This window comes from Homo sapiens, chromosome X, assembly GCF_000001405.40.
Source record: "Homo sapiens chromosome X, GRCh38.p14 Primary Assembly".
NCBI lineage: Eukaryota > Metazoa > Chordata > Mammalia > Primates > Hominidae > Homo > Homo sapiens.
In genome coordinates, this window is record NC_000023.11 from 131,033,146 (window position 1) to 131,047,160 (window position 14,015).

The following is a 14,015-nucleotide window of genomic DNA, read 5'->3' on the forward strand; positions in this document are numbered from 1 at the left end:
GGAGTTAATTGGATGCATAAATTCATGCAAAAGGACTAATGGAAAACAAGGGCTTATGTGTACTGTTTGCAATGTAGTAGCAAGAAAGAATTGCTCAAAAAGTAGAAATGTTGACATATATGTGTGAATTTTGGATTCCTAGTCCTTGACATTGCATCATGATAGATTGAGGGCCTATTTTGGCTAGAGGAGGATTTTGATGCTCTTTACAATACAACAGGAAGGTTGTTTATCATTCTACCTATGACCTGGGCTTAGTAATGGAGATCTATATTAGTTTCCTAGGGCTGCTGTAACAAACGATCACAAATTTTATGGCTTAACACAATAGAAATTTATTATCTCAAAGTCCGGAGGCCAAAAGTCCGATATGTTTCCTGAGCCAAGATCAAGGTGCTGGCAGGGCTGAGCTCCCTTTGGAGGCTCTAGGGGAGAATGCATCTTTTGCCCCTTCCCACTTCTGATGGTTGCTGGCATTCTTTGGCTGGTGGCCACGCCACTCCAATCACTGCCTCCATGGTCACATTGCCTTCTCTTCTTCTGTCTGCAATCTCTCTCTGACACACTTATAAGGGCACTTGTGATTGCATTTAGGGCCCAGCTGGCTAGTCCAAGATAATCTGTCTATATCAAGATGCTTAATTTAATCACATCTGCAAAGTCTCATAGAAGATAATATTCACATGTTCTTGGGAATAGAATGTGGATTTTATGGGAGGGGGAGCATTATTCAGCCTAACACAAAGACTAATAACAAATTACTAATGCCTTCCCCTGACATACTCTCCTCAGCCCCTTGGTTTATCTAAGTATGAAGGAGACAACTGGAATAGAGAAAAGCAAAATTTTGCAGAAGATGCCACTAGACTTTCTTTCCTCTTCTGGCCCCTGGTGGTATATCCAGCTGCAGATCTGTTCATGTACCTGTCCGGTTTCTGACCATACACACTCTGCTGGGAAACAGTGCAGTATAATCCACTCCTGAAATTCATCTTTGCCAGTTTTCACTCATTTGGGTGGCTTTCGACCTCCACAGCATAATTGCTGACGCAGGTTGAAACTTTAACGGGGGGAAAGATTGATTGGCTCACCAATAACATTTGTCTCTTGGGCTGGCATTGAGCGCAGAGGAACCATTTATGCAATCTAATTATTACGTCAATTGGGGGATGGAGTAATGTTTCCCAGATGCCATTTGGCACCTGGAAAGCTGCAAATCAGCACTATCATATAAGAAACATTAATATAGACCATTGATTGGATTCATTGATCCTATCCCTTCCCCCTACCGCCTTTAGCTTCTTACTTTGGTTTGGAGTGAAACGCAAAAGCTTTGCTTTGCTTCTCCTAGCTGCCATGTTCAGACAGGTGATCGGATTGATTAGATGTATTTTACAATTAAATGTACTTAAGGAATCATGTGCATTTCTGAATCATTTTCCCCTTTCCTGACCTTGAATCATTCAAAATATCTGTGGCCAGTAGGACTGAGATCTAGGCTCCAAAGGAAGCCAAAACAGGAGGGAAGAGCAAGGGGCAAAGTGCTGTTTGCAATTCCTGCATCCTGAGCCTGTATAATATGTCCTCAGAACTTTTCACTAGGCTTTTCAGGTTCATTGTTGGAACAGTTTCTTGGTGTTAGATCATTGTAAGCCCCCAAGAGGGCTTAATTTTTTATTTTTAATGATTCTTTTTATTAGTAACTAAGTAATCTGTTGGGATTAACCTCAACAGAGTGCAGGGCCCTAGAGCCCAAGGAAAGAGGATGTTAGGATATTGGGGAGGTTTATTATAACCTCTTTAATCTTCATTTCCCTTCCACAAATTCTTTTCCCTCTTGTAGGCAGATCCCTGCAATATTTTTAAGTGACAAAGTCTTTCATTCCACAATTGGAAACAAAGCTTAAAATGTAGCTAATCCAGGGAGAAGGAACATAGCTACTTAAATTTATACTAATGAGTAAATGACTGCTACTACAGACGCCTAGATGATCTATTAGATTTGGAAAGGGCTTCACAGCCCCGAGCCTAAACTTGTTATTTTAAGGAAGGGAGGACTGAGAATTGACTTGCCCAAGGTCTTACATAAATTTTGAAGTATAGTTTTTTTTCTGAAAGAAAGTTTTAATAGAGGAGCACCTTAAGGGGCATTGTAAACAGACATTTGTGACCAGTTTTACCAAGGGCTAGGTCTGGGGGATTCCAAAGCCAACTATAATCTCAGGTCTATTTTTAAAGGTAGTCTATCACCAGTGCTTAAAACACACTCTTCCCTTTGGCTCTGCCCTGGTGGGATTCACCAAAAGTTCATGTGTCTTATTCCTTTTTGTTATCTTAGTATCTAGTTGAGTGTCTGCCTCACAAAAGGCATTCAGTGAGTGTTTGATGTAAGACTGAATGTTTCCAGAAACAGGGAAGGCTTTTCACTGTACCCTCCATACTCTCTCATTCTGCCTCCTGTGTACACATTGCTTAAATAGCTGTTCAGGTTAGAGATTTTGCCCTTGGGTGGGACTAATAATTGTGTCAATGATCAGAGACCAAAGTGAAGAAGGCTATCCAACTTACCCAGGATCGAACCCACAACCCTAGACTTCCTTAAAGCATATGAGGAGATAGTCAGACTATAGTCTGAGATGTTAGAAGTGAATATTATGGAATCCATGTATCTCTGAAGGCCAGAGTCACCAAGTCTATATCTCTGATCATTGCGGGCATCCTAAGTCAGGGAATGCAGGTTGCAAGTGGGAGCCGGCACACCTTCTCCAATAAGCTTCTCTTACTTTCTTGGGAGGAACCCCTCCCTGGTTGTGGTTGGGGCTACAGAGAAAGAGTAAAGAGGGAACCATAGGGTTGTGGACAAGCTACTCAGATACTCATGGCTTGTGGGAAGGAAGGGTTTGATCGGTCAGGATCAGCCCTTAGCTTTAATCTCATAGTGCCCATGCCCACCAATTCTACTTGCTTATTGTCTCCTTCGCTGGTTCACCTGCACTCACCTGCAGGGACTGGGCCCAGGCATGGCCCCTGGCCCCAAGCATGCCTACCTCTCTCTGAGCTGACTCGATTAAGTCCCACTGCTCATGCCTTCTGTGTTCATGGCAAAAGTTTTCAGTCAGGGATGACAATGAAGAGACAAGGCAGCCCTTGGGGCAGGGCTACCCATCAGCCCTAGACGAAAACAAGATCCAGCAGCAAAGCCCATTCCTGTTGGCTGATGGCTTGGCATTGGCTGAGAGTCCAGAGAGCCTTCAGTTGGCCTGAACCAATGAAAAGGAGCCAAAGATACAGTCTCTCTTGCCATTAAAGAGATATTTCCACCTATGATTGGCCCCAGGATACTTCACCTCAGGGTTCTCCTATTGGCCTGGAATAGCATGCTGGCAGCTAGGGCACCCTGTGGTGAGCAGGCACCTACGTAGGCATGCAGTAAAGCACAGCCTGCTGCTGGGCACTCAGGGGACAGGCAGATAGAGGAGGAGGTATCAAGATCCTCTCTCTGCTTAACTGGTGACATCTTGGGGTCCACCAACTTCTCCTTTTTGTGCCTTTCCCCTCTGGCTGGGCCTGCTTGCTCTCCTGGTCCCATTCCCCAAAGGACTTCGATTCCCAGGTATGGTGGTGACTGGCAACACAGGGTAAGATGTAGCTTTTTCTTAGGGTTATTTGCATTGTTGTAGGGGATCCTGAAATCTGAAAAGTGGTGGTGGTCCAAAGAAATTATAGGTTCATAGAATTTTGGTGCCAAAAGGGAACTTTGAAATAGTTCCCATTTTACAGATGAGGAAGAAAACTGAGATGGACTCCAAGAAGTAATAGAATTTAGTCAAAATCATGTAGCTAGTTAGTGGCAAGTCTCCTGACCATAGGCAAGGACATTTCTGATGCATCCCAAATGAATCTTAAACTGTGGTATTTCATGTACATTTCTACTGTTTTTCAAACCACTGATTTTCTGTCCTAACGAAACTCCTAGCCTCACTGGGGAGATCTTCAGATCACAAATTAATGGCTTAATTAACATTTACAACAAGTTTTTGGCTGTGTCTTCAGTGTATGAAGAAGGGGGCTTGTGACATGGGCTTTCTCTCTGTTTACCCTCTTCTTGTACCAACCCACAGTAGTCAGATGACTGTGACCAGGGCTCTGGAGTCATGTAATCTGCTATCTAGCTAGGAAGTTGTCCAACTGGTGACTCTGTGATGTTTGAGCCATCACTGTGCAAGATGCAGCAGAGAAGCAAGTCAGTTACTAAATGCAAAAAGGTCTGAGTCTAAGCTACTGCCATATTAATACCAGTGCTTCGTTTTTCATGCATTTAGCCTCCAAATCCCCTTTAAGTTAGAGACCTGGGTTTATTTGTTCATATATTAGGTGGGACCCTGAACAGTCCTGAAATCCTGGCCCTGGGTAGCTCTGTATTATCAACAACAATGATAAGTATAAAGGGTTTGGGATTACTCAATCCAGCTTTCCCCCATTGTGTCTGTTTTCTTCATGCTTCTACCTTTCTCATTCCCCTTTTCCTTATCCTTTAAAGGCCAATTTAAGTCCTGCCTTCTCCAGGAGCCTCCCCTTACTAGTGCTGCCCACATCAGTCTTTCCCTCTTTTGGCTTCTTACTGTCCTTCCAGCCTATCCCTCAAAGTGACATTTCATTATATTCCATTTGTATTTATCACTATTGGTTCCATATATATCAACCTCATCTTCTCAACAAGAGTATAAGTTCCATAAGGGCAGGGTACACATTTTATCCTTGCTAAGTGTGCCCCACAATGTCTGATGGATGTTCAAATTAGACTAGAATGATAGCTTTTGTGGTGACATGGGAAATGCTCACAATATACTTAAGTGTCTAACTCAAAATACAAAAGTCTATGATCACAATTTTATAAAGACATGGAAAATAAAAGCAAGCAAGCAGAAAGGTAATACACGCAAATGTGTGAGAGGTGGGTGGGATGATAGGCAAGTCTAAATATTTATATATTTACCTGACTTTTCAAAGTTTCAACAAGGAGCATGTATTACTCTTATGAGAAAAAAACAAGGTGGGGTGGGGGGAGGGGGGAGGGATAGCATTGGGAGAGATACCTAATGCTAGATGACGAGTTAGTGGGTGCAGCGCACCAGCATGGCACATGTATACATATGTAACTAACCTGCACAATGTGCACATGTACCCTAAAACTTAAAGTATAATAAAAACAAAACAAAACAAACAAAAAAAAACAAAGATTATTTAAAAGAGAATCATAGATTTATGAGCTCTGGAAAGCAGAGCAGAAACAGATGAAAGAGCTCACGTAAGTCCTGTCTTATTGTTTTAAGATTGAAAAGCCTGGGGCAGAGCTATGGGAGATGCCTAGCTGGTAACTCAGTTTCCATCTTCTAGGAGCAAACAACCCAGTTTCCTGAAGCTCTAAGGCTGAGCCTCCTAACCTCTCCTCAAATCCACCTTCCCCTGAGCTTCTCCTCTAGGCATCGGTCCTGGAACTGCGTGGTTTTCTCCTGATGAGGTCTCCCATGACTCTTTGGTGTCTCCTGGGTTGGGAAGCCTGAAGGTTTGGCTTTGACTCTGTTCTAGTCCCTTGCTAGCCTCTCCTGGAACTCACTGCTTTGCCTCTGAAGCATCCCAGGACAATAAGCTATATAGTATCCACACTCCCAGGTGGCTGGAAGTAAAAAAACACCTAGCTGTACCCTTTCCTAGAAATATATACTTACTGCACTCTGAGTACTTGCTGGGAAGGGTGATCTCGAACTAATTCCACTCAATACCTTTGCAAAGCCTTGCTGAGAGCAATACTATTTAAGGAGGGCCACCTGAAATTGGTGCTTGAAGCCCATCCATTCCTTTCCAACTGGACCCAAAAGACTAGCCCCAGGTACCTGCCATGCCCATAACTTTCCCTTCTAGTTAGGCCTACCTCACTCATAGCCAGGAAAAAGGGCTGGATGGATGTTTTATGCAGAAGAGTGGCCCAGGGATTGCCACTTAACCCCAGGCAGGCCATCCATGATCTGGTAGCAGACCTATGTGGTGGATTTTTCTATTAGTGTTCCTCTTGCCAGCGATGGATTCTGATGTGCCCACAATTGGTTAAAGTGATGAAGACTCTTGTTAAATGCACATTTGTCACTTGAGATGATAAACACATGTAATTCATTGTGTACATCTATGTTTCCATCCTTCCATCCATCCACCAAACAAGCATTGGGCTCCTATTTCTTATTTTCACTTCCCAAACCACAAAGCTCTGAAAACCAAAAACGTTCTCATAAGTTTGACATTAAAACTCAGTTTAACTTATATTATAATAGTCTTTCTTTATCCCACTTAGTGTGAATGTTCATATATTTCATGACAAAAATATTAATGTATTTGATAATGGGGAGCTATACTGCAACCTGCTAGAGGTGTTATGTGATATTGGCAAATACACATGATTACCTTGATAAAATTCCCCAAATTCTTAATTTCGAAACATCTGGCCCTAAGGATTTGAGATAAGGCACTTTAACCCTTTAAGATCTAGGGATGGGGAGGTGGTAGATACCCTACCTGAGTTGGCCAGGAACAGAAGAAACCACTCAGTGAAGGGAGTAGGCATTCAAGTCTTTAGAGAGAGAGGGCTTGCTCAGGTTCAAGCCAAGGAAATCCAGTTGGGTCACTCAGCCATTAGTCCAAAAGGAAGGAACAGGGCTGCAAACAGAAGACGGAATAAAGACTCAGGAGAAAGATGGAACTGAAATGGAACAAGAATAGTTTGAGAATGGGGAAATGAGAGGGAACTAGAAAGTAGCAGGAACAAGGTGTCTTTGACTCCAGTCAATTGGCTGGTGGCTGTTAGGTACCAACTGGGGTCAGGTTAGCTTTAAATTTGGAAGATTGTGACAGGCAGATACTGAGAGAAATGAGACACAAACTCTCGTCCTCTCTTTGCCAAAAGTCTAGAATCTGCAGGGTCCTGAGAGAATGGATAGGAATTGGAGTTGCATTAGTCTGAAACAAAGATTTAGCTTTGACTTTTTTCAATCTCTGCATTTTTAAAGCTTTATTTTTTAAATTGTGAAATATGCCACACATAAAGAAAAGTGCATAAATCATAAATGCACAACTTGTTCAATGAAACACCCATATTAATCATTACCCAGTTAAAAATAGAATATTATCAGCACTCCAATGCCCAACTTGTGTCCTTTCCCTAATCATAACTCCTTTCTCCCCTACTAAAAGGTAACAACTTTTCTGACTTTTCCAAAAATCACTTCCTTGCTTTTATTTAGACTTGTACACCTTAGCATGCATCACTAAACATTATAGCTTTGCCAGTTACTGACTTTTATGTAATAATTCAGTATGTACGCTTTTGTTTCTGGCTTCTTTCATTCAATATTATGTTTGTGAGATTAATCCATGTTGTTGCATAAAACTGATATTGTTCCTTCTCAATGCTGTATAATATTCCCTTTTGTGAATATGCCACAACTGAGTTAACCATTCTACTGCAGATGGGCATTTTCAGTTTGGGACTGTTTGACTAACACTATTATGGTTATTTTTGTTTGACTTTTGGTGCACATGTCCCTGCATTTCTGTTAGTAGTGGAATCACTGAGTCGTAAGCACGTGTTCCATTTGCTAGATGCTGCCAGTTTTTCAAAGTTTGTATCAATTTGCACTCTTCCATTGTGCCAAATCATTATTAACAGTAAGTATTGTCAGAGTTTTACATTTTAATCACTCTGGTGGGTGTGCAGTGGTATCTCATTGTGGTTTGATTTGCAATTCTCTGGTGACTAATGAGGTTGAGCATCTTTTCATATGTTCATTGGCCTTTTGGATATACTCTTTTGTACAATTCCCATTTAAGTCTTTTGTCCATTTTATCCTACTAGATTGTCCTTTTCATATTCATTTCTAGGAGTTCTTTATACATTCTAGATGCAAGCTCTCTGTTATATGTGGTACAAATAAATTTTCCAACACTGTGGCTTCCCATTTAATGCTTTTTGAGTCTCATTTTCTTCCTCTAATTTCCATCAAGCTTCCCAGGCTCAAATGTCCCCCATTTTGCTAAGGTTCTAACAAGCTCACCTGGGCCCTGAGGGATAGCTCAGTAAGGCTGCAGGGCTGTTCTCTCCACCTTCCCTTCCTTCTTCCCTCCCACTTATCTGCCCTGTCTCTCTCTCTCCCTTCCCTCAAATTTTGCCCATTCTTGGGGGGCTGCTTATTATTCACAGGATGGATAGAAACAACCTTCTTTTAGCCATGGTGCCAAAACTGTCAGATTTGCCAAGTGCTATTAATACGTCAGAAAACCTTCACTCTGGAAAGCGCTTGGAGATTATGTAGTTCTAATGATGAGGAATCAAAAGCTCAGAGAAATTAAGCGGCTTGTCCATCATACTGCAAGTTAGTGGCCAACTTAGGACTAGAACTCAGGTCTCTTGCATGCATGCCCCAGCTTTTTCCACTCCATTATGCTAAGAAAGACCAGAGCACACAGCTGCACATTGGCGGGGGCATTTTTTTCTTCTTCTGAAAATAAGTGCTGTCTGTGTCTGTGTAACAACGCAATCGGTAGAGACTATGGCTCATGTCTGTCTGGACCCAGGTTGAGAGATCACATCACCTCTGCTACTTTCCCATCTCCTGGCTGTCAAAGCCTGAAGGACAACAAATGGCTTGAGTAATGAGATGAGTTAAGATAGTGTCTCCCACGCTGAGTTATGTGCCAGTTCAGGACTACAGGATTCTGCCACAATCCATTTACACAAGAAATTAAATTGAAGATCGCAATGTAATATTCATATATTAAATCCTGGCGGACAATCAAAGTAATTAAGGCCAAATGTTCTGAATCATCCTGTGGCATCATGAACATTCTATTGCTGGGTTTTTAGAAGGACTTATTTCTACAACCAATTATCTTGGAAATCATTAAACCTCCTTTGGAATGTGAGTAATTTGAAAGCCACCATGATACCCAGTGCTACTCAAACCACTTTGCCCCCATAAAAGAATAACTCTGCTACATAGGAGTGCTGGGTGGGTAAGGAAAATCTGATTTTCAAGAAGCTAAGTTTAGGGGATAGGAACCAGTCTCCGACCACCCCCCTCCCTGCATTGTGTTTTTCAAAAGGAGTGGCTATATTTCATCCTAAATTGAAGCAGTTAACTGATGCAGGCTACCAGGCTAATCCCAGCTACAGACTGATCTGCTTGCAGTGTAGTTCTGTGGTTCTCACAAATACATTCTACTGATTAAAACAAAACAAAACAAAACAGAGTCTGGAGAAAGAGGATGGCTCCGTCTAGCCCCACAATGATGAATAGGGTTGACCTTCAGACCTTCCCCAACACTCCCCACCATAGACCACTCGTCTCTTAAAGCTTCTCCACATACCCTCATCTCTTAGTCCCTGTTCTTCTCAGCTTCCCTTTGTCCACACCTCTGTTATGCCACTCATCATAAAGTCCTCGAGTTATTTGTTGGCTCCCCTTCTGGAGCGTAAGCCCTTCAAGGGCAGGGGCTATGCTCTAATCTTTCCAGTGTTCCCACTCGTGGCCCAGTGCACGCATCAGAGAAGGTGCTTTGTGTATGGTTGGTGCATGTATGAAAGTCTAGATATATAAAAGACAAATGATCAAGAGAACTCACAAACATACACGAATGTATCTCTGTTTGGGAATGACAGGCTTAGTGTCATGGCAGCATCAAAGAGAGGAACCAATCTTCCTTTCTCTTCCAGTAAATGTTTTAATTCTCTCCAAAATACAATGCTCTCAAACCATCACCAACAAATAAAACTCTATCATGGAGAATGTGTAACTAAAAGATAAACAAAAAGTATTAAATTAACTTGTACTTTTTCAGAGTTGTACTTAGGAAACAATCAAGTTATTTTACCTGAACTAATTATACGACTTCTTTGCATCTTGAATACTGTATACAAAAAAAGGTCTCTGATTCATCAGTTTTGCCAGTGGGAATAATTAAAAGTGTGCATATACAGTAATATTCCTACGAAATTATTTCTTCTCATAAATATTTATCCATAGCCTAAGTTTGTTGATGCTGAGCGGCATCAATATTTCTTGACTTTGGTTCACATACTGCCCCCTTGACTGTACCACAATTCTGATTCACAAATGAGATTCTTGGGAGATATTGGACTGTATCTTGTTCATGTCTATATTCTTAGTTCTAGCACAGAGCTTGGCACAGAGTATGCACTCTCTGTAGAATGAACGAATGAATGAAATACTAAGTGAGGCAGTAGCCTTCAGGGATGATTTGTATCAAAGTGAAGTTGTACAAAGCAAGACCCATTCACTGCTATTCTCTTTGTGACCCGTTGGCTACAGCATCCCTGAGCTTTTAGGGCAACCCGATCCACCCACCCAACCAGCATGCCCCTTTCAAAGGCAGTCGTGCTACCCCTCCATGTGCCCAGCACTAGCCAGAGAGGTTGGTGCAGTCTGTGTGCCAGCCCAAGCCAGGTGGACACAGCGACAACCACCTGTGGCTTTCCTGGGTGGGCATCTTGAGCCTACATGTTTCACGTCATCATGCACCTACCAGTCAGTGCTGGAAACTGCACCAAGAAATATTGATACTGCACAAAATCAATAAACTGGGGCCATGGCTAAATACTTATTGGGGCAGACAGTGACGCCGTTTGCTCAGAAAATTCAATCAAGTTCTGTGCAATTACTGCGGGTTTAGATTCGAACAAATTAGCTGTTAGTCATAGAATTTCAGAATGTCAGAGCTGAAAGGACCCTTAGAATTCATCTGGCTCTGTGTAACCCCGAGGTTTTCAAGCTTCGCTTTCGCAAGAAACACTTTTTAACCAAGGAAATCTTATGACGTTCATCTTATTCAAGTAGGGGTGCGGATCCTGATGCATAGCCTCCCCTTCTCAACTGCTTCAAACTGCAGAGGTGAAAAGGAAGGTCCAGTAAAGTTAAGGAGGATCGTGGCATACTAGGGGCAAAAAGTTCCAGTCTTGGAGTAAGTGTCAAGACAGACTGCAACTCTGTCTTAGCCAAGGGCCTGATATTCAGCCATTTACACTCATGCCTGAAGGGGTCTTTTGGATATGATCATTTAAACTGATGAGAGACGTGTGTTCCTAGGAGGGGAGACACAGTGACTAACAGACCCTAGCAGGAGTGAGTTTATTTAAATGAAACACACTGCTACCAACCTTCGCAAAGCCTAAAGGAAAATCCCAAGGGCAGGAGACCCAGAATGGTAAATGTCCATTATTAGAGTATTTCACAAAGGCAAAGAGAAGAGAGGAGGAACGGAGCTAGGCCAAACCTCCTCCTCCCATCCTGGCGGATATCTGCTTGTGTACCTGTCTATTCATGTGTCCATCTTTTAAGATGCCTTTATGTCATCTTCTGCAGTGGTATATCTAGTTCCTTGTCAGTTTCTGCCTGAGGCCCATTCTTGTGTTCAGGTTGGCTCTCTCTACTGTGAGTCTGTCGCTGCCTACATCTCAAGTCTTTCAGCTCCTCTGTGTCCAGATGTACTATTTTTCATGTGCTTATTTGCCTCAGAATGTGTGTCTGTGTCTGACTGATTTTATCCCACAAGAATGGCTAACAGTGAAAGTGGGAGGGAGGGAGGAAAAAACTGTTTCTGGTCCTCCTAAAGACTTCAATCTCCTCTTCTATGTTTCTTAACTTTTTTCACCTATTTTTTTCCCAGTATTCATATCTCCCTCATCCCTTTTTCTTTCACTGTGTTCCTTTATCTCTGGTTGTTCTATTTTTCTGTTTCTCTGTATACTTTTCTTTTCTATTTTATTTGTTTCTTCCCCTTTCTCTTCCCCTATTTGTTTTCTCTCTAGATTTGTCTTTCCCCATATATTTCCCCTTTTCTTATTTTTTTCTTTCTCTATATACCTTTCCCATTTTTGGGGATTCTTTCTGAGTCTGCTTTTTTCTTTCTTTCTTTCTTTGCTTTTTTTTTTTTTTTGACAGTGTTTCACTTTGTCACCCAGGCTGGAGCACAGTGGCATGATCATAGCTTGCTGCAGCCTTGACCTCTTGGGCTCAAGCAATCCTCTTGCCTCACCCTCCTGAGTAGCTAGAACTATAGGTGCATGCCAACATGCCTTGCTAATTAAAGAAAAATTATATTGACAGAGTCTTGCTATGTTGCCCAGGCTGGTCTTTAATTCATGGGCTCAAGTGATCTGCCCACCTCTGCCTTCCAAAGTGCTGGGATTACAGGCGTGAGCCACCGCACCCAGCTAGTTCTTTCTCTTTCTTCTTTTCCTCTTAGCTCCTATTTCTGGGTTTCTCTTTTAACTGTATTCCTCTTCCTCCATGTGTCTCTTTTCTGTGATCCTTTATTTATTTTATTCATTTTCTTTCCCTGTCTTTTTTATCCCTTTCTCCATGTCTTGTTTTTCTATTTCTCTTTCTCTTGCCCATTCTTCTCATCTCTCTGTCAGTAGCTCCTTGTGTATGAATCTGTCAGCCTCTTTTCTGCTTTGTTCTCCCCAAAGATGCTTCAAGCATCAGGAGGAGGAAGGAGTTACTCTTTTCTGCCCTGGGCTGGACTGTGGGTGGGTGGGGTTCATTATCTGTCTTTTCACTCAAGGATGGGTGGGGTCGTTTGCTGCTCCCTGGAACCTAACCAACACATCCTTGTTCCCCGCCCCCAAGACCCCATCTGCAGAGTCACACTGCGACTCCAGCTGCTGCGCTGCTTGCATTCCCTGCACGTCCCATGCAGAGTGATGAGCCCCCAGGTGCAGTGGGAGAATTCATCAGCCACCTGACAGGGCTAACAATTTACTCCTGAGAAATAATCCATATCCAGATAATGGATCACCCCTGACTCCCTGAGACCATTTGTCTTGGCACTTAAATGGCACCAGAATCCAGGGGCAGAGCCAGGCACTCTATCCCAGGTTCATTGGTAGATGAATAGGCTGGAATAATAATGTTAAGGATTATGATAAGGAACACTTTGCATTTGCATGGTGCTTTTTTAAAACTCTATAGATTTGGAAGAGATTAACCTTCCTTGGCTCATATCTTTTGCATCTCACACACTGTGGACCCTGCTTGCAGATTCAGAAAAAGGGGAATTTTAGTGACTCACCCAGACTCATCTAGCCTGTTACTGGCAGAAATTGGAGGAAAACTATTTCCTGACTTCCTGAGACTCTTTCCTCTGAATGCTACACGGCCTTCCAATCTCTGGGTCCCACTGTTTGTATCCAAGAAATGGAAGCTGATACTAAGAGACAGTATACTGGAGAGGTTCATAGATCTGGCTTTGAATCCTGGCTCTGCATTAGCTAGGCTAATGCAGGCTGCTTACTCACTTAGAAATTCTACTTTAAAGATCCTCCTCTTTAAAGTGGGGATCCAAATAAACCTTCCTCGTAGGACTATTATGAGAATGAAGAGAAATTATGCATGCAAAGTGCTTATTATAGTGCCTTCCTTATAGTAAAAGCTCCATGAATGTTAGCTGTGATTATTACTACTGCCTGTCTCTTTGCAGGATGCTAAGTGAACTCATACAAATGCATGAGAAAATTGGTCTAGAGGAGGGGAAGAGATAATTGGTGGCTTCCACATAAGTGTCCCTGAGGCCATTGATGGGGGAAGGGACGAGGAAGAGTGAATTCTGATTGCGGGAGGAACTACGGATTCTGCTTGGGGTGGGAGGTCCCGCCAGCTCTGGGAACAGGCAAAGAGAAGGAAGGAGATTGGGGATTTGTGTTCAGGCTCCAAATGTATTTCATTGCTCAGCAGGATCAATTGTTGGCCTTCAGTCCCAGCCAGCTAAGGTTCCCGTTCTCAGGGTCTCAGCTGTTTCTGTTTCCCTGGGGTGGTTCTCTTTCCCAAAAGCTGGACAGAGGAATATTTCTTTGGGGGAATATTGAAGCCCAAAAGATTTTGTGGAAGGCCAGCACAAACGAAAAAAATGAATTCTTGTGCAGGAGCCTTTTGCGTAAACAGGAGTTCACT

The 14,015-nt window shown here is 42.6% G+C and overlaps 1 long non-coding RNA gene across 1 annotated transcript in view; it reads right to left on the reverse strand.

Moving 5' to 3' along the window:
* LINC01201 (long intergenic non-protein coding RNA 1201) overlaps nt 1-14,015 on the reverse strand; it is a 41,678-nt gene that overhangs the window by 16,677 nt on the left and 10,986 nt on the right. Inside the window, exon 2 of the long non-coding RNA NR_126350.1 lies at nt 6,568-6,708. This is a non-coding gene — a long non-coding RNA (long intergenic non-protein coding RNA 1201). The remainder of the gene's footprint in view (nt 1-6,567; nt 6,709-14,015) is intronic.